Source organism: Homo sapiens, chromosome 9, assembly GCF_000001405.40.
Source record: "Homo sapiens chromosome 9, GRCh38.p14 Primary Assembly".
Lineage (NCBI taxonomy): Eukaryota > Metazoa > Chordata > Mammalia > Primates > Hominidae > Homo > Homo sapiens.
In genome coordinates this window covers 111,370,206-111,396,329 of record NC_000009.12, presented here as the reverse complement: position 1 = coordinate 111,396,329, position 26,124 = coordinate 111,370,206, and the positions used below count along the sequence as shown (strand labels likewise).

The 26,124-nt window shown below is 39.1% G+C and overlaps 1 protein-coding gene across 11 annotated transcripts in view; it reads left to right on the top strand.

The window, feature by feature from the left end:
* Positions 1-26,124, top strand: part of ECPAS (Ecm29 proteasome adaptor and scaffold) — a 123,699-nt gene that overhangs the window by 88,054 nt on the left and 9,521 nt on the right. For all 11 annotated transcript variants that reach the window (NM_001363756.2, NM_001364929.1, XM_047423107.1 and 8 more), the window contains 20 exons: positions 2,025-2,170; positions 2,596-2,650; positions 3,448-3,562; positions 4,506-4,574; positions 6,229-6,346; positions 6,607-6,774; positions 9,874-9,953; positions 10,888-10,993; positions 11,761-11,808; positions 12,998-13,119; positions 17,600-17,750; positions 19,789-19,854; positions 21,128-21,217; positions 22,292-22,358; positions 22,924-23,015; positions 23,094-23,160; positions 23,710-23,901; positions 24,501-24,709; positions 25,565-25,608; positions 25,703-25,895. In NM_001363756.2, the coding sequence (NP_001350685.1) occupies positions 2,025-2,170; positions 2,596-2,650; positions 3,448-3,562; positions 4,506-4,574; positions 6,229-6,346; positions 6,607-6,774; positions 9,874-9,953; positions 10,888-10,993; positions 11,761-11,808; positions 12,998-13,119; positions 17,600-17,750; positions 19,789-19,854; positions 21,128-21,217; positions 22,292-22,358; positions 22,924-23,015; positions 23,094-23,160; positions 23,710-23,901; positions 24,501-24,709; positions 25,565-25,608; positions 25,703-25,895 (2,198 nt within the window). The remainder of the gene's footprint in view (positions 1-2,024; positions 2,171-2,595; positions 2,651-3,447; positions 3,563-4,505; positions 4,575-6,228; positions 6,347-6,606; positions 6,775-9,873; positions 9,954-10,887; positions 10,994-11,760; positions 11,809-12,997; positions 13,120-17,599; positions 17,751-19,788; positions 19,855-21,127; positions 21,218-22,291; positions 22,359-22,923; positions 23,016-23,093; positions 23,161-23,709; positions 23,902-24,500; positions 24,710-25,564; positions 25,609-25,702; positions 25,896-26,124) is intronic.

Genomic DNA, 26,124 nt, shown 5'->3' with positions numbered 1-26,124 from the left:
AGTGACAGCATATAGTTGAGGGAACATGTGGTTTCTGACTTTATGTTTTATATATTATGATTTCAAGTTTGTTGTGGTTTGATTTGAATTTGGAATTGAAAATATATTTTAGTATTTGAGCTAGAATAAAAAAAAATTTAAACAGAAGGAAAAGTCACCACATTTTTATATTTTATCCTCTCAAGTGAGGAAATTAAAAGAGAGTATTCTCATGGTAACAATTTTATTGTATATTGTGTTCCATCATGAATAATGCATTAATTTAGTTATTGCACTTAGTGTTACAGTTAACATTTAACTCCACGGTAATGCGTTCACCTATTATTTCATTAGCCACCCTAAAGAGATTTAAAGGAAATAGAAAAACACACTTTTGCTTGCACTGTAATGAGAGTTGTGGATTGACGGAAGCTGAATCAGAGTCAGTTCTTTGAGGTTTTTCTTTGAACACACATGAAGCAAGGCAAGGAGCAGTTTGTATAGAAGGAAGGAGGTAAGGAAGGGAAGCAACATTGTTAACAAGAAGACAACCAAACCTGAAGTGGGAATTTTCAGGTTGCATGTGAGAGGTGGTAACAGAGGCTTGACAACAGGGAGGGCTCACACTGAGGAGTGGGTTTGCTGTGAGAGGCATGTTTTTGACTCCATGGGTTTTTTACCTAGTGACTTAAGCAAGTAGAGGTTAGTAGAGAGGCATCTGTGCCAGTCTTCATCCTCTGAACTCTTGTATTGCCTCAAACTCTTCTTGGAAGATTGCATCCTGCTTGGCTTTTTACTCATGCAAAGGAATCTCCAATTGTCCATTAAATGTTGAAGTTCTATTTTTGTCTGTTTTGGGAAAGGAAAACATAAAATATTGTGGAGAAGGGAGGGATGATGAATCTCTGACGTGAATTTTGATCATGCGTGTTCTATGTCATTCTCATCTGAGTGCTTCTTAGCCTTTGGATGTCATTGTTGGTTACAGTGTACCAATCTTGCTGTGAGTAGAATGAACAGCATTTGAGAAGCCAGTTAGGGCCCAGGTCTTAGCCGTCTTAACATCTCTACATAATATCCTGGGCATGTTATGGGAATCTAGTAAGGACTTGTTGGTTTTATAATTGTAGATGCCCAGATAGCAGAACTGCTGGCAGCTAGAGTTGTGGTTACAGGAATTAAAAGAAGGGATTCTGACTCTGAGAACTGGAGTAATGTGATCAATGAGGAGTTATGAAGGGACAAGGGGCGGAGGGGAATTGACCATGTCATGTACTGCCAATAGATCGACTAAAGTGAGAATTGAGAAACCATCATTGGACTTAGCAACAGGAAAGTCATTCGTGATTTCTATGACTAATTTCTATGGAGAAGAGAAGGTAAAAGGCTGATTTGGAGTGGGCTCAAAAAAGAGAAGAGCAAAGTTTGAACATGAGTTTAAACAACTATTTTGAAGGGTCTTAATGTAAATCATTGGTTTGTCACTGGAGGAATGAGATTTTTCCCCCTAGACACTTGGTAATGTCTAGACACTGGGGAGGGTGGGTGCCACTGGTCTCTAGTGGGTGAAGGCACAGGATGCTGCTAGACATCCTGCAGTGTATAGCACAGCTTTGTATGATAAAGAATTATCCAGCCACAATGTCGGTAGTGTTGAGGTTGAGAAACCCTGGAGTAATAAAGGAAAGGAGAAAAACAGTATGGTAGCTGGAGGAGGAAAGTAAGTGCAAAATAAGTTTGTTAGTTTTTAGATGGAAGATGAGAAACATCTAGTAGACAAAAATTGCTGACACTAGAGAGATTAGGGATAAGTTTTCATTCTCAGGAACTAAAAAGTTACTCGAGTACCTTTGAAATGTAATTTTGTTTACACTAGGTTCTAGAGTGGATAATTATTGATTCCTTCAGCAACTTTAAACACCTTAGCCATTTAGATTTTTATATAGGATTGTTCTGTTGAGTAAATGTTGATTTGAATTTAATTTTTTCAGGAAACTATGTTGAGTTATTTTAATTCTTTGTTATTTTTCTTTGCTTTTCCCCAGGAGCCAAAGTGAATGATGTGGTTCCATGGGTGTTGGATGTGATTTTAAATAAACATATCATCAGCCCCAACCCACACGTGAGGCAAGCAGCCTGCATCTGGCTCCTTTCCCTTGTCAGGAAGCTAAGTACCCACAAAGAAGTGAAGGTGAGCCATGCTGTATGTGGTCAGCCCTGTTGGAAACCACAGTATTATAAGTAGCAAGGAAAGCATATGAGGGTGAAGGTCATTAACCAATAGTAGGTATTTTGAAATACATTGTACATGAAGGAATGAAGGATGGTGGCCTGATGTATATAGGCTGGAAGATGATTCTAGCCTTGAAGGAATAAAGTCAGAAGTGCTTGAGATAGGAAGGCTCAGTTGGGGCAGTGGTCAGCTTGCATGTGTTAGACTACGTGTAAGTGGTGCAGCTCCAGGTGATTTGGGCCACCTGTAAAGATGAGAGCAAAACAGCGATTGTAACTGGCTTGGATAATAAGACTACAAATTTTGTACACGGTGAGAGCAAGACTCTTATTCTCTCAAAGAGGTAGAGTTTCAGTGTTCTAATGCCTTTTTTCTTCTTTCAGTCTCATCTTAAAGAAATTCAAAGTGCATTTGTTTCAGTTCTATCAGAAAATGATGGTAGGTTGTTAATATTTGATTTCTAAACTTAATTGAACTTGTATTTTAAATGTTCAAAAACCTGGATTAATGAACATGAAAGAAAACTTTCTTGAGCTGTGTGATTAAAACAATTATTAAACCTTATTTGTTAGTAGTAAGGATAAGCATTATGTTAATGTTTAGAAACCAAAATTTCTAGTTAGGATACAGGAAACTTAGATTCTTTCTCATTTATTGGTTTATACATTAGAACATGTTCCTCAACTCTGCATTTTAAAATGGAGCCGAGGCCTTCTTTAACATTAGTATCTCTCCTAATAGCTTTTTTCTGCCTCTGGTTACTTTTCCTCTCTGATTTAAGCTAGGAGAGAGTGAACGTATATGTGTTAAATCTTTCAGTACTAAGCTTTGTTTTATAACTTGTTTTAAACATATGGTCTTGCATTGACTTTTAAAAGTTAGGTCTGAGTGTATTGAGATCTTGTGAGGCTGTTTTATCTCTGATGTATGACTTACAGCCCATGGATAATCTGTCGCTGCACTGTCCAGTGACACTGTATAGGTCCATCAGTATTGTCTAGATTTGTGAACTGGATCTTCTGTGAATGTGGTTCTCATTTACAGTAACTTGTGTGGTGCCATGTCCCCTGAAATGATTATTATTTTTAACAAAATAGGCATATTGATTCTGTTTTTATATCTTTACTTTGATATCATTTTGGGTCAGTGTCAACATAACTTTAAAAATTTTGATTTCATAGCAAGTAGACAAAATTTTTTTTAAAGTGATACAATCTTGTCTGACTTTCTTGTAGAACTTAGCCAAGATGTTGCATCAAAGGGCCTTGGGTTGGTTTATGAACTAGGCAATGAACAAGATCAACAGGAATTGGTTTCTACACTTGTGGAAACACTTATGACTGGCAAAAGGTATGGTGAACTTGAAAATTTTAGATTCAAGCCCATAGAGGAAGTCTCTACACATAGTGAGAAGATGCTGGAGAAGGAAGATTCGGCTTTCCATGTTTTGGTTTATGAAGCCTTTTCTAAGTTGCGAGTCCATAATTGTTGTGCTGTGGATAGCACAATTATTCCAGGGTATACTGTTAACTTTAGGAGCATGCCACTAGGTCAAGCGTCGAAAGTTTAATGGTCTCAGATAATGTATTGGGTTAGAAAAATGCCGTAATTACTGTTGGCTAAATGGAAGTTAAGATACGGAGAAGAAGCTTGCATATCATTCATAGTCTAACCCGTGAAGAGTGTGAGGGGAAATCATCTGTGTAAGGGATTGCTGCTTCATGTTGCCTCCCTTGTAGGAAGGATAGTTTTTCATGTGCTACCACATTTAATTCAGTGGAAATTATGTGAAATGTCTTTTTCATCTGTTAATTTGTTCATTCTGAATTCATTTTATAAAATTTGCAGCCTGTTGGAAAGGGCTGTTTTTTGTTGTTGTTGTTGTAGTCTTGCTCTGTTGCCCAGGCTGGAGTGCAGTGGCACGATGTCAGCTCACTGCAACCTCTGCCTCCCTGGTTCAGGTGACTCTCCCGCCTCAGCCTCCCGAGTAGCTGGGACTACAGGCGCGTGCCACCATGCCCGGCTAATTTTTTGTATTTTTAGTAGAGATGGCGTTTCACCATGTTAGTCAGAATAGCCTCGAACTCCTGACCTAGTGATCCACCCACCTCGGCCTCCCAAAGTGCTGGGATTATAGGTGTGAGCCACCGCGCCCGGCCGGAAAGGACTTTTATATCTTGTACACAGTAAATGCTTGATAGGAAGTTTTATCACTTTGTAAATGAATCGTATTGGCTAGTTGAATGTTGGTATGAAAAGCTTGAAGCTTATTGAAATTATTGTTTTGGTTTAGAGTTAAACATGAAGTTTCTGGAGAGACAGTGGTATTTCAAGGGGGAGCTCTTGGCAAAACACCAGATGGGTAAGTATGCTAAATCCATTGAATGGTAAACATCTTTAAATATATATATGCATTTATTAGTCTGGTAAATAGAGCAGTCATGAAGTTGATTTCTACCCTCTTAGGAAATGTTATCTATTGGTGGAAGAAGAAAACTTACATGGAAAAAAGTCTGATGTCTTTTTTTTTTTTTTTGAGATGGAGCCTCACTTTTGTTGCCTAGGCTGGAGTGCAGTGGAGTAATCTCGGCTCACTGCAACCTCCGCCTCCTGGGTTCAAGCGATAGATTCTCCTACCTCAGCTTCCCAGGTAACTGAGATTACAGGCACCTGCCACCACGCCTGGCTAATTTTTGTATTTTAGTAGAGACGGGGTTTCACTATGTTGGTCAGGCTGGTGTCAAACTCCTGACCTCAGGAGATCCACCCACCTCGGCCTCCCAAAGTGCTGGGATTACAGGCGTGAGCCACTGTGCCTGGCAGGCTGACGTCTTAAATTGAGTGTCCTGGGAAACAAACTCTGAGTTAGATTTCTGTGTGGGAAATTTACTGGGGAGTGCCCTAGGGGTCACTCTGGGGGGATGAGGAGGCAGGATAGGGCCTATGACTGAGGGAGGGGCGGAACTGCTACCATCGTTTCAGTGGATACCAGCCTCTTGAGGAGCTCTGAGCTGGCACAGGTGGCCTTTCGGAGTTGTTCTGCTTTGAGGCATGGAGCCTGGCCCTTTATGTCCTCTCAGTGACCAGCCATTGGTGGTGGGCTGCTGCGTGGGAGCCCATGATGTTGGGCTCTCAGGGCAGTTGTGGGAGACTGACTAGGCCAACAGCTGTCAGCTCTCAGGCAGCTGAGTCCTGCAGAACACCTGGAAGCATAGCTAGGTGCACCCACTGCCGCTAGTTTTGGGTGGGTGTAATTCTTTATCTTAGAGGCCACTACTTTAGCATTTAAAATAAATTCCTTGAGCTTGACCGCCTTTATTTTATCATGCTTTATTTCTACGGATCGTTAGGCAAATCTTTGCTGGTTGCAGGGCCTTGCTGTGGTGTCACACACGAGCCTGCTTCATTGTTGTCTGCAGCAGGAGAAAGCTGCAGTTTGTTCCATCGTTGACGTTCCCCCACAGTACACTGTTATCACATCAAAAGTTGTTTTCATTGTACTTAACTCTCCTTGTAGACTCCTTCTAAGTTTTTAAAAAAGTGCTTACATTTTACAAAATAACAAAACAATTAGATATTTGAGCCAATATTATTTGTTCAGAGGAAAGTTAACAAGACTCAATCAGAATTAGGGTGGTCTAGCTTAGAAAAGACTTAGGGAAGACAGATGTTGTCTTCCAATGACTCTCTTATGATCACGTGAGATTATGCATAACATAATGAAGAATTATTGAGTTGCATCTCCAGGTGGTGAGTGGACCGTGGCTATGGACTTAGAGGTGCATTTAGGTCATTTATCAGCAGCAATGTAGAGGGGCTTAGGAATTGCTAATAGTTGAATTAGGTGACTTTTTATATTCTTACTAACTTGTGTTCTGTCTCCATGGTGATAACTCAGTATTAGAAATTGAGTGAAAATTTGATTTTAGTATGTCCTAGTAATATTGATGATGTAATTTTTTAGGCTGGAGAGAGAGAAGTGTATTATTGCCTACCTCTTTTTCTTTGTTTCCAAGTCAGGGCCTTTCTACTTACAAGGAACTTTGTTCTCTGGCAAGTGATCTTAGCCAGCCAGATCTGGTGTATAAATTTATGAATTTAGCCAACCATCATGCAATGTGGAACTCTAGGAAGGTAAGTTGCTATCACTGGACAATTATTTATTTTTTTCATGCAAACCAAACATGCTACATTGGCAGACAGTGGCAAATGGTATGTAGTGCATTTTGTGAAAGTCTGTGCCTGATGAGAAAGCTGAACCCCACAAATGCTGTTGATTGGAAAGACCAATAAATCAGGCTGTATTTAGGCATAAGTTTGGAGGGAGAATTTTTTGCTATGTTAATATTTTACTATAATGGTGCATCTGAGTCACTTCAGCCTATTATTTTTAGGGTGCTGCTTTTGGTTTTAATGTAATTGCTACCAGAGCTGGAGAGCAGCTGGCTCCTTTTCTGCCTCAGCTAGTTCCTCGACTTTATCGTTACCAGTTTGATCCCAACCTTGGCATTCGACAGGCCATGACAAGTATTTGGAATGCGTTGGTCACTGACAAATCCATGGTAAGTGTCTGTGAACCCCTGTGTTAGGAAAACACTGTAGACTGTCCAGGGTCATGCATAGGATTTAAACCCAGTGTCCATCTTCCTTTCTACTTTTTATGTTTACTTGTTTAAACAAATAAATTGTCTTTCATTCCATGCTTTCTTCCTTCTTTCAAGGTATCAAAGATGTGTATGGCAACATTTATTGAAATCTCCAAAAGGGAAACAATATAAATGTCCACTGGGAAGATGGTTAAGGAAATGATTATGTATTCACACAAATGGAATAGTAAATGTGGATAGGGACTGTTGATGGAATGGAGAATGGGTCATAGTCCCATCTCCAATGAATTCAGTTAGCTGGGGAGACAGACAAGGAAGCAGGCAATTGCCATTTTGTTTTCTCTGTTGGTGTCCTCTCATCTGGCTGTTAATCATGTTCTGTCCCACTTTTAGATATTAAGATTTCTCAGGGCTTGTCTCTGAGTATCTTTTGCTCTCTGAGCCTTCTCTATATCAATCAGTTCCAAGGCATGTAAATGTCATCTTTATTGTGAAAGTTCCCAACCTTACACTTTTGGTCCAGATGTCACTTGCACTTTAGACATGCATATGTAACTGTTTACTTGAAAATTTCACTTCAGTGTTGTTTCAGAATACCATAAACCCAACATGCCCAGAACAGGACTTAAAAAATAACCTTCCCCCTCTACTCTCACTGTTTACCTATTTGCCCAAGCCAGAAAACTTGGTGTCATACTTTATTTTGATCTGTGTCTCACCACCACCCCCAATTGAATCTAGTAGCAAATTCTGTTGATTCTGCTTCCAAAGTATTCCTTGAATCTACTCTCTTCTTTCCCTAATTCTTTACTGATGAATAGGTCATCATCATCTTTTTTTTTCCTCTTTGCCGTTCTTCATTTAATTATCTACATAGTAGCAAAAGTAATTTTTAAAAATGCAAGTTAGATTGTGCCATTTTGGGTTAAAATCCTTTAGTAGCTTTACAGCTCACTTTAAATAAATTCCATGATCCTTACTATGTCTTACAAGTCCCTGCCCGTAATGTGGCCCCTTCCTGTCTCTCCTGTCTGGTACTAGGCTGAATATGTTTCTATTCTTGGTGGTAGGTACTTGAGGGTTCAGCTTTGAAGACTCAATGAGTTTTGCTTGCTCCAGGAGAACATGTGGCACTTTTGGGTCAGCCAAGATCTAGTAGGCCAGTGGGCTTTGTAGGTCTGAGCTCAGGACACAAGCCTAGACCCTTGAGACGTGAGTGTCATCTCTATAAGTGAAAGGATTAAGCCACAAGTGTGGATGAGATCATCCATGGAGAATGTTGAGAGAAGCAGACATAGGAAGACATCAGTTTGTTATTTACCTCTTTGTCTTGGTTTTCTTACATGTAAGTAAGGATAACAAAACCTTTCCTACCTACAAAAGTGGAAAAGCCGTAAATTTTTGAGAATGTCAGCATTGGTATAAGACTGATTCTACCATTATTTTGTCATTATTACCAAGTTGCTAAGTGTATATCAAAACAGAACAGAGGCTTAAAAAGTAAAACTCATCTTTCATTCTGAACAGTCATGAACCAGGCACTGGGTAAGGTACTGGGGATAAAAAGATGAGTGAGACTCTGTCCCTCAATAACTGCACTGATGATGAGTGAGACACTGTCCCTCAGTAACTGCACTGTTGATGAGTGAGACTCTGTCCCTCAATAACTGCACTGACGATGAGTGAGACTCTGTCCCTCAATAACTGCACTGATGATGAGTGAGACTCTGTCCCTCAATAACTGCACTGACGATGAGTGAGACACTGTCCCTCAATAACTGCACTGACGAGTGAGACACTGTCTCTCAGTAACTGCACTGACGATGAGTGAGACTCTGTCCCTCAGTAACTGCACTGATGATGAGTGAGACACTGTCTCTCAGTAACTGCACTGATGGTGAGTGAGACTGTGTCCCTCAGTAACTGCACTGACAGTGAGTGAGACAGTGTCCCTCAGTAACTGCACTGATGATGAGTGAGACTCTGTCCCTCAATAACTGCACTGATGATGAGTGAGACTCTGTTCCTCAATAACTGCACTGACGATGAGCGAGACACTGTCCCTCAATAACTGCACTGACGATGAGTGAGACACTGTCTCTCAGTAACTGCACTGACGATGAGTGAGACTCTGTCCCTCAATAACTGCACTGACGATGAGTGAGACTCTGTCCCTCAATAACTGCACTGACGATGAGTGAGACTCTGTCCCTCAATAACTGCACTGATGATGAGTGAGACACTGTCTCTCAGTAACTGCACTGATGTTGAGTGAGACTCTGTCCCTCAGTAACTGCACTGATGATGAGTGAGACACTGTCCCTCAATAACTGCACTGATGATGAGTGAGACTCTGTCCCTCAATAACTGCACTGATGATGAGTGAGACTCTGTCCCTCAGTAACTGCACTGATGATGAGTGAGACTGTGTCCCTCAATAACTGCACTGACGATGAGTGAGACTCTGTCCTTCAGTAACTGCACTGTCCTGTACAATAACTGCACCCGACCCCCTTGAGGGTCTGCAGTATAGTGAAATAGTACAGTTATTGTATGATTTTGTGTGATGCTTCTTCAGAAGGTGCTATGGGAACAGAGAGGAGAGTACCCAAGCTAATCTTCTCTGGGAAAGGATGGCTAATATGAACCTTGAAGGACAAGTAGGAGTTAGCCAAGCAAGTAGGACCTGGGAAGGGGATTGTAGGGAGAGGTGGCATGTGCCAAGGAATGGAGGTGAGACAGAATATGGTACTTTTGGGTCTGGATGAGTCATGGAAGGCTTTGTGTGCATGCCTGGGTGAATGGACTTCATTCTCATGCACTGAGGAAAATAAAAGCATCAAATGTACATTTTAGAATGATCACCTGGCAGCTTTATAGTGACCAAAGTGGGAAGAGATTTGTGGGCTGAGTGGCCTAGAGAGACATGGAGGCCGTAAAATATAGAAACATGGTCAGTGTGGTTAAGTGTGGTTAACCAGTGTGGTTAAGAGTTGAGTAATTTGATTATTGATGGATTTTGCATTTTAAATTTTATCCTTTTGCTTTCATTAGGTGGATAAATATTTGAAAGAAATTCTTCAAGATTTGGTTAAGAACCTTACAAGCAATATGTGGCGAGTTCGAGAATCCAGGTACCGTTTTTAGGAATATAAGTTTAGTCAAATAAAACTGAATTTTTTTCCCTTCAAAATTTCTAGGTTTTATACTTTGTGCAAAAGGAATAAATTAAAACTACTAAAAAGCTGGCCGGGCGTGGTGGCTCACACCTGTGATCCCAGCACATGGGGAGGCTGAGGTGGGTGGATCACCTGAGGTGAGGAGTTCAAGACCAGCGTGGGCAACATGGTGAAACCCCGTCTCTACTAAAAATACAAAAATCAGCTGGGCCCAGTGGCATGTGCATGTAGTCCCAGCTACATGGGAGGCTGAGGCAGGAGAATCGCTTGAACCCAGCCAGGGGGCAGAGGTTGCAGTGAGCCGAGATTGTGCCATTGAACTCCAGCCTGGGCGACAGAATGAGATGAGACTCTGTCTCAAAACAAAGCAAAACAAAAAACTACCAAAAAGCATATTTCTTGTTGGCTACATTAGTTATTTTTCTTTAACTGTTTAAGCTTTGGTCAATGATTTTCCTAAATTGTCATAGTTTATGTAAGTATGAAATCAAAGAAGTTGAAGATTACCTGTTAAATTGGTAGACACCAAGATGTATTTTGTATTGTCATGACTTTATAGTATAGCATTTCTGTATACAAGTTAGATTCATTCGGTGCCCAGTGTGTATGTGGCAGTGTGCTAGGCCTTGGAGGCACACTGGTGAATAAAAAACGATGTGTCATCTCAAAGGGATTGTATTATAGTTGTGGGAAACAAGCATTTTATAATTGTAAATTACATATATATATGGTATATTTGAGGGACCTGGAGAGAAGTCATTGCTGTTTTGGGGTGAGGGGATGAGAACTCGAATTAGAGGCAGAATCTGTATTCTTTTTTAGTATAAATGTTTCATAGTAAAATACTGACCTTTTTCATCATATATTGAAATGAAATTTTGATTTTCAGCTGTTTAGCTTTGAATGATTTATTGAGAGGAAGACCCTTAGATGACATCATTGATAAACTTCCAGAAATTTGGGAAACGCTTTTTAGAGTACAAGATGATATCAAGGTATTATAGAAATAAATCAGCATTTATATATACAAAAAGTTAAATTGGAATTATTAAAATATTTATGTTGTGTATGTCAAAATTCCATTTCCAGATAATTTTAAGAGACCAACGTTTTCCCCCAAAGTTTCAGTCTTAATGTGTCTGTGAAGTTGCAAGGTTGGGTATCCTTAGATCTAAATTAAATAGACTTAGGGAAAAAAAAGGTGGCTGTATACCTTCTTTCAATAGAGATCTCATGATTCTATTGGATTAGGGACAAATAACAGTTTTGGACATAGTAACAGTATTTTGATCAGTTCTGTAAATGGGATTAATTATTCTCAAGTAATGTGGCCAATTCCTCTGAATTTTTCTTGGGCAATCTTAATTTTAGGTATTTTGGTATTTTACCATTAAAATTAGGCACTTCAGTTTTACCTTTCTTTTTGCTTTATTTATTGGAGGCTTTTAAGTGTTTCAGAATTCTCACATAGATCTTTATGTATTTACTTTTATAATACATTTAGTTTCTCAACTGTTAATAGCTAAATTTTTTAAGGTCAAAATAGGTTACAGTTAATGTTTAAAAATTAATAGTATGGCATGGTAATGTGTTCCTTGATGGGCAGAGAGTCTGATGAGATACCAATTTTTTTAACATGATATGAAATGTAAGATTTTCCACCAAATCTCTGTAGGGCCTGAGGCAATTAAATTGCAAATTGTAGAGTAGATGATAGTGAAACTCTCTAACTTGTATGATGTCACACTTTTGTCATTTTTAGGAATCTGTACGAAAAGCGGCAGAACTAGCTCTGAAAACTCTGAGCAAGGTGAAAACCCCGTCTTACATTGGGAATGGAGTGGAGCAGGGTTCTGGGTGACCATGACAATGATTTACTTACTGTCATAGGAAAAGACATTTAGTTGCAGTATAATTGGCTTCATGTTGTAGTTCACTGCTCTTAGAATGAATGAGAAAGTGAGTGCTGTAAACACTGCAGTACTAGTGTGTTGAACAGAGTATACTGTGGTCTCTTTAAATGGTGAAATTAAGATAAAACTTCGACTTAACCCTGAAGAGCACATCACTCAGATCAAGCAACACCTGTCTTTTCTCTTGCTTTTGCTGTGTTTATATATAAAGCTACCTTTCATATTTGTGAGGTTGGAAAGCTTTTTGAAACTAAATTATCTCCCACTTGAACTTGATTTTGTGATATATCAGGAACTTTACATTCTAGTTGCACAAACCTTGCCATAGGTCACATAAATAGTAAAACCAGGTTTTAAATACAGGTGTTTTCCTGTTTCACATGTGATCTTGACCACTATATTGTGCTGTGACCCAGCGTTATTGATGATGATGATGATGATGATGATGATAACACTTCAAAACTTCTTTATTTAATTTTTTATTTTAATTTTTTTTTGAGACAAGGTCTTACTCTGTCACCCAGGCTGGAATGCAGTGGCGTGATCACGACTCACTGTAGTCTCGACCTGCCGGGGTCAGGAGATCCTCCCACCTCAGCCTCCTGGAGAGCTGGGACCACAGGTGTATGCCACCATGCCTGGCTAATTTTTCATACTTTTTGTAGAGACAGGGTCTCTTCATGTTGCCCAGGCTGGTCTCAAACTCCTGGGCTCAAGCAATCCGCCTGCCTCGGCCTCCCAAAGTGCTGGCTTTATAGGCGCCGGCTACTGCACCCAGCCCTAAACCTTTTTTAAAGTGCTTTCTTACATATTTCCTGGTTTGATCATCATCTGTTTTGTTCTGTATTTCACAAATTGGAGGACCAGTGCTTAGAGAGTGAAATGCATTACCAAATTTTCTGTTTAGTTCTTGGCAGACCTAGGACTCAATCTCCGATCTCATTCCTCTGTGTCTCTGTAGTGTCAGAGAAAGTAGATTCACTTATTCTTCCCTGTAGATATGTGAAGTAGAAAGTCTTTTGTCAGATGAATTCTTTATTGGATGCGCGGTCACTTTCACTAACGTCCATGCTCTTTGTATGTGAGGTCTGTGTGAAAATGTGTGACCCTGCCAAAGGAGCAGCTGGCCAGAGAACCATCGCTGCCCTTCTGCCTTGCCTTCTGGACAAAGGAATGATGAGCACCGTGACGGAAGTTCGAGCCCTCAGGTGTGCATCCGTTGATGAAATGAATGTATTGGATTTGCTCAGTTCCTAGAAATTGTGTTTCTTTCAAGGTTAGATTCTGGAAAATATGGAGAAAGAGGTTTAGGAGAATGACCCTTGGGTCATTTGTGAAAACTTGTGAGTCACAATATTTTCACAGAAACATTCTCATGAGACCTTATTTTTGCCTAGCATTCTGAGTCAAGCGTGTTGTTCTGTTGTCATCAGCCTCTGCTCCCAACAAGCACGTCTTCCTGTTACACTGTAGGTCCTCAGGAGCATGTTTGTTCATTATAATATTTAGTAATATTTCACAGATTATTAGATTTAAGAGAAGCTGTTTACCACCTGCAACGATGAAATATTCAAAAAATGTACTTACACGTTTTGATATAATATATGACTACTTTAAGTTAAAACCAATAGTGTAGGATTCTAGTTTGTATGTTTTGTTTGTTTTTAAAGTACAGTGCTGTCTAGGAACTTTATCTGTTCCATTGTTATTTCACTCTTAAGAGTAGAACAAATTATTAATAATACTGCCAGTGGTATTTCATGGCAAGTAGATAGTTGATGAAAGAGTTTTTTTTTTAGAAGGACTCACCTAACAAATGCAAAGGCATGACGCAATTAAGAGTGTCACTTTGGCTGGGCCTGGTGGCTGGTGCCTGTAATCCCAGCACTTTGGGAGGCCGAGGTGGGCGGATCACTTGAGGTTGGGAGTTTGAGACCAACCTGGCCAACATGGAGAAACCCCATCTCTACTAAAAATACAAAAAAAATTAGCCGGGTGTGGTGGTGCATGCCTGTAATCCCAGCTACTTGGGAGGCTGAGGCAGGAGAGTCGCTTGAACCCAGGAGGCGGAGGTTGCGGTGAGCCCAGATTGCGCCATTGCACTCCAGCCTGGACAACAAGAACGAAACTCTGTCTCAAAAAAAAAAAAAAAAAAAAAGTATCACTTTTTGCTCTCCTCAGTAAAATAATCTAAGTAGTGATCATTAGATGCCCCTAAATCCACTGGGTGAATGGCTGAAGAGAACTTTATAATGATTCAGGGCAACCAGACCTGAACCTACCAATCACTCCTTATAGCACAAAAAGACAACCAGTGCATGGTGATGTGATGGAATAGGAGGAATAGGACACACAGCATTGCCTAGGAAGGATTCTTTGTGTGTGTGTGTGTGTGTGTGTGTGTGTGTGTTTTACAAAATTGAACGTGAACTCAGTTTAGCCTGTAGATCTGTGCAGGGGAAAGAGGAACATGTTAAATGACATGACTGGAATACAATCAAAGAGGACGAAGAAGAAAAAAAGAGGAGAGTGGAGACTGTTAAAAAAGATTTAAGAAATGCAGTAGATTGCAATGTGTGAGTGAGCTTGGATCCTGATTCAAACATGCCAACTGTTTAAGAAGCTAATGAAACAGAGAAATTTGGATACTTGATATGAAAAAATCATTAATATTTTTAAAGTGTGAAAATGGTATTATGATTATGATAAAGAGCCTTTGCTTTTAGATATTCATAGTGAAGTTTAGTTAAGGGATATGCTTTCAAATGCAGTCACACGTCACTTAGTGACAAGGATATTTCTGAGAAATGTGTCGTTAGGTGATTTCATGGTTGTGCACACATTAACATGAAGTTGGAAAAATGGTGCAGTTAGATTGCTTGATGCAGGGTTGCCACAAATCTGTTCACTTCATATCTCTATGTCATATTTTGGTAATTCTCACGGTATTTCATACTTTGCATTACTATTATATCTGTTTTGGTGATCTGTGATCAGTGATCTTTGATGTTATTTTGTAATTGTTTTGGAGTTGTATGAACTACACCCATTTAAGATGGTGAACTTAATTGGTCAGTGTTGTGTGTGTCCTGATTGCTCCACTGAACAGCTGTTCCCCATCTCTCTCCCTCTTCTCAAATGTCTCATTCCCTGAGACACAACAATATTGGAATTAGGCTAATTAATAACCCCACAATGCCCTCTGTCTAAATGAAGGGAAGAGTTGCCTGTCTCTTACTTTAAATAGAAAGCTAGAAATGATTAAGCTTAGTGAGGAAGGGATGTCATGAAAGCTGAGATAGGCTGAAAGCTAGGCCTCTTGTGCCAAACAGCCAAGTTGTGAATGTAAAGGAAATGTTCTTAAACGAAGTTTAAAGTGCTATGTTAGCCAACACACAAATGATAAGAAAGCAAAACAGCCTTTTGCTAACAGGGAGAAAGTTTGAATATTCTGGATAGAAGATCAAATCAGCCACAAAATTCCCTTCAGCCAAAGCCTAATCCAGAGCAAGGCCCTAACTCTCTTCAATTCTGTGAAGTCTAAGAGAAGTAAGGAAGCTGCAGAAGAAAAGTTGGAAGCTAGCAGAGGTTGGCTCATGAGGTTTAAGGAAAGAAGCTGTCTTCATAACATAAAGATGCAAGGTGAAGCAGCAGTTGCTGATACAGAAGCTGCAGCAGGTTATCCAGAAGATCTAGCTAAGATCACTGATAAAGGTGTCTACACTCAACAACAGATTTTCAATGGAGATGAAATAGCCTTTTGTTGGCAAAAGATACCATGTAGGATTTTCCTAGCTAGAGAGAAGTCAGTGCCCGGCTGCAACGCTTCAAAGGCCAGGCTGACTGTCTTGTTAGGGGCCAATGCAGCTGGTGACTAAGTTGAAGCCAGTGCTCATTTACCATTCTGAAAATCCTAAAGCCTTAAGAATTCTGCTAAATCTGCTCTGTGCTCTAGAAATGGAACAACAAAGTCTGGATGACAGCTTATCTGTTAACAGCATGGTTTACTGAGTATTTTAAGTCCACTGTTGAGGCCTACTGCTAAAAAAACAAAAACAAAAAACAAACAAACAAAAAAATAACAACAAAACAAAAACCAAACCAAAAAAAACCCCAAAGATTCCTTTCAAAGTATTACTGCTCATTGACAGTGTGCCTGGTCACCCAAAAGCTCTGATAGAGAGGTACAAGGAAATGAATGTTTTCATGGCTGTTAGCATAACACAACATCCATTCTGAAGCCCATGGATCAAGGTGTAATTTCAACTTTCAAGTCTTACTATTCAAGAAGTATATTTTGTAAGGCTAGAGCTGCCATTGATAGTGATTCCTTTGATGGATCTGGGCAAAGTAAATTGAAAACCTTCTGGAAAGGGCTTACCATTGTAGGTGCTGTTAAGAACATTCATGATTCATGGGAGGAGGTCAAAATGTCATTAATAGTTTGGAAGAAGTTGATTCCAACTTTCATGGATGACTTTGAGGGGTTCAAGATGTCATTGGAGAAAGTCACTGCATATGTGGTGGAAATCGTAAGTGGGGCCTGAAGACGTGACTGAATTGTTGCAATCTCCTGATGAAACTTGAACAGAAGAGGAGTTGCTTCTTATCGATGAGCAAAGAAAGTGGTTTCATGAGATGCAAGCTACTCCTGGTGAAGATTCTGTGAACATTGTTAAAATGACCACAAAGGATTTAGAATATTTCATAAACTTAGTTGATAAAGCAACAACAGGGTTGGAGAGGATTGACTCTAACTTTGAAAGACGTTCTAATGTGGGCAAAATGCTATCAAACTGCATCTCATGCTACAAAGAATTATTTTGTGAAAGGAGGAGTTGATTGATGCAGCGAACTTCATTGTTGACTTATTTTAAGAAATTACGACAGCCACGCCAGCATTCAGCAAACACCACCCTGATTAGTCAGTAGGCATCACCATTGAGGTAGGACCCTCCACCAGCAAAAAGATAATGACTCGCTGAAAGCTGAGATGATCAGTAGCATTAAGATATTTTAAAGTTAACTAATGTACTTTATTTTAGACATAATGCTATTGCACACTTAATAGACTACAATATAGTGTAAACAAAACTTCTATATGCACTGGTAAACTAGAAAATTCATGTGGCTTTCTTTATTATGGTGGTCTGGAACAGAACCTGCAGTATCCCCAAGGTATTCTTGTATGATCTTATGGGACTACTGCTGGACATTGTGGTCTGTTGTTGTTGACTGAAATGTCTCATGCAGCACATGACTGTAATACAGTGGCAGGGGGGAATAGCGGCTGTATGTATGGAGGAGGTATAAATGAAACAAAATTGGTCAAATGTTGCTAATTGTTGAACTGGGTGGAGAATACATGGAATTTCATGCCTACTATAAATTCCTACCATAAAATTTCACTATAAATATAAATTCCTACTATAAATAAATACATGGAACTTCATTCCTACTATTAATGAAGGTAGGCTTTTCCTACTTCATTTATCATTCTACCTACCTCTATATATGCTTCAAGGTTTCTTTAATAAAAGTTAAAAAAAGTAATGCCCAGACCAGGCTCTGCAACCATGTGAAAATATGCTTTAATGCAGTGAACTGCAGAACATCCTCATGGTTAGATTTGTAGGTCTTCTCACTTTTGTTAAAAGGACTCAGGAGTTGTGTTCCATATGTTTGTAGCATTAACACCCTTGTGAAGATCAGCAAAAGTGCAGGAGCCATGTTGAAACCGCATGCACCAAAACTCATTCCAGCTCTGCTAGAGTCCTTAAGTGTATTGGAGCCCCAAGTTCTCAATTATTTGAGCCTCCGGGCGACAGAGCAAGAAAAGGTGAGTGGATAGCGCAGGCATATTGGTAAGTATCATGAGGGAAGAGCCCTGTTAAGATACCAAGGTTCATTTGAATGACACTGTCACTACTGTTACCAGAACTCACCCTCTGTCACCACATGCAGTGTTTTACTGTTTTTTTGGAGAGAGGTTGTCAGCTCATACACTGTCTTGTGAATTGGATGAAAACTGACACTTCCATCTAAAAAATGAATTAACATTTGTTTAACATAGTTTTTTGTATATTTCAATTTTGTTAGGGCTTGGATCTATACCTTCAGAGTCCTTCCATGGGCTCCCTCGCCCTGTAAGCAAAGAGTATTTGCACCTAGACTTTGGCATATCTCAAAATTGTTCTGCTTTTTAGGTGTAATGGAGTCACCTGGTCTCTGATCAGGGTCATTTTTATTTTTATTTTTATTTTTATTTTTTTGGAGACGGAGCATCACTCTGTCACCCAGGCTGGAGTGCAGTGGCACCATCTCGGCTCACTGCAACCTCTGCCTGCCAGGTTCAAGCGATTCTCCTGCCTCAGCATCCCGAGTAGCTGAGATTACAGGTGAGCGCCACCACACCCAGCTGATTTTTTGTATTTTTAGTAGAGACAGGGTTTCACCATGTTAGCCAGGATGGTCTTGATCTCCTGACCTCGTGATCCACCCGCCTCAGCCTCCCAAAGTGCTGGGATTACAGGCGTGAGCCACCGCACCCAGCCTGATCAGAGTCATTTTTTAAAACTTCAGATGAAACATATTTATTGTGAAAAGTTAATACAGAAGGATAGAAAGTAATCCCATAGAAGGTCTCCCAATCACCACAGTATCATTCCCTGAGGAGCACCTGCTGTCAAAAGTTTCCTGTGCCTTCTCTCAAATTCCTTTTTAGTCATAGGCTACCAAACCAAACAAACATACTAATTTAAAAATAGTATCAGACCGTGAATGTTGTTCTGTGATTTGTTTTTTAAATTAACAGTATATCGTGTCTATATATACACTTATTCTTTTTAATGTATGTATAGTGTTCTACAGTGAGGTGATTTTGAATTTTTGATGGAGAGGTTTTGCAACATCAAAGGTTTTAAGTGTTCTTTTTTTCTCCGTACCTTTGGCACTGTTGAATAACGTATGTGTGATAACAAGAATCTCATTTTTCTGATTTGCACTCTTTTCCTAGCATTGTCCATTGCCTTTTCAATATTGTATTAGTCGTTTATATTTCTTCTGTGATTGTGTTTATGTTCCATGTCTATTTTTCTATTTGACTGTTTTTTTAATTTATATATTTTTATTAGAACTGTTAAACCCTGTTATATACAACATGTTTCCTCTGTTCACTATTTGATCTTTAACTTGCCTAAACTTCTCTAATAACTTACTCTCTTTACCCTTTGCCTCTAATATTGCTGTTTCTTCTTCATTCATTATTTTTCCCTCTTTCAGCAGTAGACTTGCACCTTCCTGGGTGCCCATAGGATGTTTACTAAGCATTGAGAATTTGGAAACATAAATTCTAGTCTAAACTTTGTAGCCCTAGGCAAGTCACTTGTGTATGCCTTACTTTTCTCCCTTATCATATCTGGATAGTGTTAACCTCTCCTTCAGCACAGTTGTTAGATTAAAATACCTTCATAGATACGAAGGGTAATTACAAAGTTAAAGAACTGCACGTATAAAATTTTCTACTGCTTAGACACAATTTTAAAAACCTTAGAAATTTGTTTAGTCAGTTCCTTTATTTAGTGGATGGAGAACCTCAGGCTCAAGAAGGCTGGATGACTTGCCCAGAGCCATACTATGCTGATTTCTTAACTGTTATCTGAATTTCTCACCTGTAGTGTGGTGCTGGTTCCCCTGGTAAATTGTTGAGTGTAGGTCAAAAGAAATTAGAGTTAGACTTGATGTTTGCCTTTGTTATAGCTACGGATTATTTTTTTTTAAAGTTCTTTAGCTTGGAAGTGAAAGTCTTTTATGGGTGTTTGTGCGGATTATTCCTAATTAATTGAATGTGCCGGGTGACTTTAATTTCTCTTCTTTAGGCTGCGATGGATAGTGCTCGGCTTAGTGCTGCCAAATCTTCTCCAATGATGGAAACAATCAACATGGTGAGTGTCTTAAATAATAATGAGAGGGTTTGTTTGCTTACCTGAAAGTGTAATTCTTCAAAGTCTTCAGGCTATGTTAAATGAAGCAGAGACTTATGGGATGAGTCAAGCAGCTGTTGTGACTCCAGTTTTTTCTTAGTATATTTCTCTTTTCTTCTCTGTTACTAAGTGGAATAAATAATTCCCCAAATACCAGAAACAGTTGGTCCAAATTTGTATTACAAGAGACAACAACATATCAAGAGCTCTCTATAAATTTACATCTGTAGTCTTTTGATCTGCCTATTTAGAAAGGTTCAGAGTTGTGCCTGTGCCTAATAGTTATCTTTGGGAGGAACTAGGAAAGTTATAAGCTGTGGAGGTATTTAATGAAGTAGGTAACATAAAGGTATGTGAAGAGATTGGGCAATGTCGATATGTTGTTTTAGTCATAGGAAGGCATTTGCAGTAAAGGGCTGCTTGGCATTCTGAGGTTCTGATTTCTAAACTTCCTGGAGTCTTGGTAAAGTTACTCTGTTGTGCATTCCCTGTAATGGTTAGTTAGCTATGATTGTGTTTACTGGAAATTAGTTTGCTAAGCAGATCTGTACCTTTAGCAGGACTCTGAAGGTATAGATCCAACCCCTAAAAAAACTGAAGTGTACAAAAAACTATGTTAAACTGGTGAAGAGAAGTAGCTATTTTTTAGTGCCTGCTGGGGGAGTATTACCAAAATTTGGTCTAAGAATGTTATGTCTTAGTTGGATTATTGGGGGGAAATAAAAATTTAAAGAAATAGGAATAGTTAGTGAATACCATTTAGTTATATTCATTAGTAATAGAAAACATGTTAATTGCATTTTCAAAAATAAAGGCCAGCAATTTATAGGAAAAGTCATCTAAGAAGTTGACTCATTAGAGGGGGTTTGGTAGGGTAGGCCCACTGTAGAAGATCAATATTTAGTTTAGGTTTTTTATACTAAACATGGATTGATAAAGAGGAAGTAGGCCCAGAAAGATTCTTCATTCTTGAGTAATCATTATTTTTCTTTTTTAGCAAATTGATGTTTTTCATTTTTTTGTTTGTTTTTAGTGTTGAATCACTGATGAATAATTTTTCTGTTTGTAGTACAATAGTGGTTTTAATATTGAAATCAGAGCAGAAGCAAGCAGTGATTTTTCAACTTCATGTCAAATCCAGTTGGTACACGTTTGACAAGGGCAGTTTTTAATTGAAGATGTGGTCCTGACTTATTTGCCAAGGCTTACCTTTATATTTGTCCTTTTTCAAAAGTGCCTGCAATACCTTGATGTGTCAGTGCTGGGCGAGCTAGTTCCTAGGTTGTGTGAACTGATCAGAAGTGGTGTAGGTCTTGGAACTAAGGTAAGTGTACTTTCCACAAGAGGAAATGTGCATCTTCATTAGTTCTGGCCATAAGGATATAACAGCCATCATGTTTGAAATTCATGTTTTACCACAAAATCTAATATTATACACTAACCATTTTATTTCTGTGGTTGCACTGATAACTGAAAACATGTAACTGGTTCAAGAAATAAAACATCTAACTGTTCCAGTAAGTATTAACTTATTTAGTGGAATCATTTCTGTTCTCTGGTTGCCGTGTACATACCCTCTGGGTTGTCATTCATTAGCAGTTCATGGAAATGCACATCCAGTTATTAGGGCATGGATTGTTTTAGGTGGCAATTGCATTTTTCACAGAGGGGTCAGCAGTGTTTGAATAGAAAAATGTCCTAGTTTTCAAGATCTTTGAAGGATCAGACACCCCCCTACCACCCTTTTAACAACAAATTAATAACTCACATTTTTTCTTATGACAAAATTAACACTTGCTGGTATTTTAAAATTTTAGCATTTATAGATTAGGAGAAAGTTAAAATAAAAATTGTCCAGAATTTTGCCATACAGAGATAACTGCTGTTAATATTTTGAAGTGTTTCCTTCCAGTCTTTTCTGCACATGTATCTTCTGCAGTGTCCTCTTCTAATGGCCGTATGATACTCCACTGTATGGATGTAACATCATTTATTTTACTCCATCAAGGAACATCTGATTTGTTTTCAGTTTTTGAAAAAAATAGTAAAGCACTGTGATGAGTGTCTTCAGGCACACCTGAAGATATTTGGTTAAATTTCTGGAAATGGAAATGTTAGCACAGTGATGGACAAGATGACATATTTTGCTTTTCCAGAAGATTGTACCAGTTTTCTTTCTTTTTCACAATGTCTGAGATCACCCATCTTTCTCTTGGAGGTTTAAAAAAAATCGCTGCATTACTAGTTTAAGAGTTTGCCTTTTTCTATATTGAGTCCTGGAGGGGGTATTAGGCTTCATGTATTTTATATGTTTAAATTTTTGGCACCTAAGCCAATGGTTTGGTAGGTAGAACATTGTGACCATCAGATTTAGACCTTTGCTTTTGTAACCCTGTAGGGTGGCTGTGCCAGTGTCATTGTGTCATTAACTACTCAGTGTCCTCAGGACCTAACACCTTACTCAGGTGAGTTTGTCAAGGGATGTGTGGTGATATTTTTGCACAGCCCTGTCTTGTGTGACAGAGTTTTAAAAAGGAAAAATACTTATCATTCAGACCTGCTTGTGATGCTGTGTGCCTTTTCTCCCCTCAGTCCCCTGACTCCTTCATTTCTTTGTCTGCAGGAGGTGCAGAGTTTATCAAGTTTAGCAGCTTTTCACTGTTCATAAACATTTGATTATTCCTTAGTGGTATAAGGAGGTAAAAGTATCCTCTTTTCCACAGGACTTACCATTGATAGCTGATTTTACATCAGCATTTTTCTCTTCTTAGATTGGCTTCTAGACTGGACTAGTGTTCTTTATATACCTCGTTCTTATTTTGCATCTTTTTCCACGATATTCTAGTTTAATTTTAACTTTATATCATGTAAAAGGAAGCAAATGGATATATAAATATAACATCCAGAAATCTAAACTACTGTGGAGTAAATCAGATGTTAATTACAGGGTTAGGTTTGTTTGGGTTCTGGGAACAGAGTGGAACATTTGGTCAACCAAGTATCAGATTTTTTTCTCTTTATTTCTGGTAGGTAAACTTATGAGTGCTTTGCTGAGTGGCCTGACAGATCGGAACAGTGTGATTCAGAAATCTTGTGCATTTGCTATGGGCCATTTAGTTCGGGTGAGTTAAATTTCTTGCTTAGTTAAATAAAACTCTTTGACAGTTATAAAGAAATACTTAGGATTGTTTCTTTTTCAGACCTCACGGGATAGCAGCACTGAAAAACTCCTGCAGAAGCTCAATGGGTGGTATATGGAGAAAGAAGGTACCTTTCTTTTTCTATTTTATGTCATTTTAAATTTAGATGTTAACAGCCCAGTAAAACAGTACAAATTAGGTCTTACCCTCCATGATTTTATGTGATTTGCTAGAAACATTTGTTTCTTTTCTTTTCTTTTTTTTTGAGATGGTGTCTGGCTTTGTCGCTGAGGTTGGAGTGCAGTGGTGCTATCTCAGCTCACTGCAACCTCAGCCTCCTGGGCTCAAGCGATTCTTGTGTCTCAGCCTCCTGAGTAGCTGGAACTACAGGCACGTGCCACCACGCCTGGTTAATTTTTGTATTTTTTGTATAGGTGGGGTTTCGCCATGTTGCCCAGGCTGGTCTTAAACTCCCGAGCTCAAGCTATCTGCTCACCTTGGCCTCTCAAAGTGCTGGGATTACAGGTGTAAGCCACCACAACCCAGCCTGCTAGAAACATTTCTAATTGATTTTACCTGTTTGTTTTGCTATTATATGAGTTGAACAATAGCCTGTTTAGATCAGTTACCCTTAAAAACAATAAATATCGTAAAGATTTTGGTTTCTCCTTTTCAGAACCTATCTACAAGACCTCTTGTGCTTTGACTATTCATGCTATTGGACGATACAGCCCTGATGTATTAAAGAATCATGCAAAAGAAGTCCTGCCTCTGGCATTTTTAGGCATGCATGAAATTGCTGATGAGGAGAAATCCGAAAAAGAAGAATGTAATTTATGGACCGAAGTGTGGCAGGAAAACGTACCTGGTTAGTAGTGTGGCCTGAGTTAAACCTGCTTCTTAGGAATCACAGCTAGAATTTTTTACTTGCATTCGTTATTCATAAACTCCTCTGAAGTTACTTTCCCAGGACCTTAATATGCATCCCATTTAGTTTTAAACCCATCCAAATTGCTCATCCCATTTAGTTTTGAACCCATCCAAATTGCTGAGTTCTCAAGGTTGGCACTCAGGATTTTTGTCTTTACTCATTCATCACTGCCCACATGAGAGAATATAAACCCTGTGAGCAAGGAGAGCTTTACATTTTTAATTAAGAGTGTGATTTTATGTGGCCTTAGAGTATTTTAGAGTAGTTTTCTAAATGTGTTTTTCACCTTGTCGCATATTAATTGATGATGCCCATTTGTGTGATACGTTCCTGTGGGCACCCAAGTTCGTAAAGTTCTACTATTGTGAGAATAAGTCACAACACCAACACACTTTCTCTCCCTTTGAGAGAGTGGTGTGTTTTAACAGTTGAGAGTCACTGCTTTTAGACTGTTGGTCACTGACTTTTTTTCAGGTTTAGAAAAATCAGTTAATTTTTCTTGTCACTTAAAAGTTGTTTTAATTTTGCTTTCCTAGGATCCTTTGGTGGCATTCGATTATACCTGCAGGAGTTAATTACTATTACCCAGAAGGCTTTGCAGTCTCAGTCCTGGAAAATGAAAGCCCAGGGTGCAATTGCCATGGCATCAATTGCAAAACAGACTAGCTCTCTAGTACCTCCATATCTCGGAATGATACTGACCGCATTGCTGCAAGGCCTGGCTGGAAGAACGTGGGCAGGAAAGGTAAAGGAACCATTCATACCCAGTTAAAGGGATTCTGACTTCATCTTTCATTTTGCATAATAGTAACGATCTGGTTTTGTGTAACTTTTCCAATGGATTATTTTTGTGAACTAGATTTCCTAGACAGTGGAAGCTTTGGGTAAACCTTGCCTGATTAACTGTGGTATTTCCTCTCAAACTGCAACCCGTGTGGCCTTGCATAATGGACAGTAATGCTGGAGATAGATACATTTTCCATATTCAGCCTTCCAAGTTACGTCTTAAACCAACTTGTCAGCATTTTGTACCTGTTGACCTCATGAACAGATCAGGATTGGGCATAGAAAGATCAGGATTGGGCATATGTGAAATAGAGTAGCAAGGTAGCCTGCCTCTAAACCTGGGGCTGAAGATGCCCATCTCTGGGACCTATGAATTAGTAACAGTTATTTTTTTACACAAGAGCTTTAGTAGGATTCTTAACAGTGAACACTCAGTGGGGAACATGAGATTGTGGTAACCTAATGATCTTTATGTTGTAAAGGTCAATAGTGGCCCATGCAGGAATGAAGTAGTACCGGACTGGGAGTCAGACATCATTCCAATTCTGTGGTTGACACTGTTTTCTGTGAGACCTGGGTCGAATCAGTTCTTTAGGCTTCTATGAAATGGAGGTGAAGATAATTATCCTACATCCATGGTTTGGAGTAAAACTTGGTGGATGTGCTTAAAATTATGCATTAAAGATAAGGTGACTGTTGTTAATTTTTGTTGTCATAGTTATCAAAAATTCCTAAGGTAATTGTAATCATGGTTTAGACAGTGTAAATGACATGTTTGGGCTTAATAGTATTTCCTCATCTTTCAACCCCTTAGGAGGAGCTATTGAAAGCCATTGCCTGTGTGGTGACAGCTTGCAGGTAAATGTTCTTTCAATGAAGATGCCATTTCTTAAACTGGACCCGAAAACTGCAGCCTTTATTAACTTCTGATGCTTTTGTATGGACCCTGTAGTGCAGAGCTGGAAAAGTCTGTGCCCAATCAACCCAGCACAAATGAAATTCTTCAAGCTGTTCTGAAGGAATGTAGCAAAGAGAATGTCAAATACAAGATTGTAGCAATCAGCTGTGCAGCTGATATCTTGAAGGCCACCAAAGAGGACAGATTCCAGGAGTTCTCTAACATTGTCATACCTCTCATCAAGAAGGTAATACCACCTGTATCCTCAGTTCTGGTTTATACTTTAAAAAGAAAAAGTTAAAAAATTGTTTTCCCCTATGTCCTGATTATTAGGATTAGTTTAGCTGCAAGTAGCAGAGAAATTCCAAAATACGGCCTTAAACAAGATAGTCAATGCTATGTTTCTCACAAAGCGTTGGGAGCATCACAAAGTGTTCAGGTATTCCGTCTCTTTACAGCTCTGAACTCTGCCATTT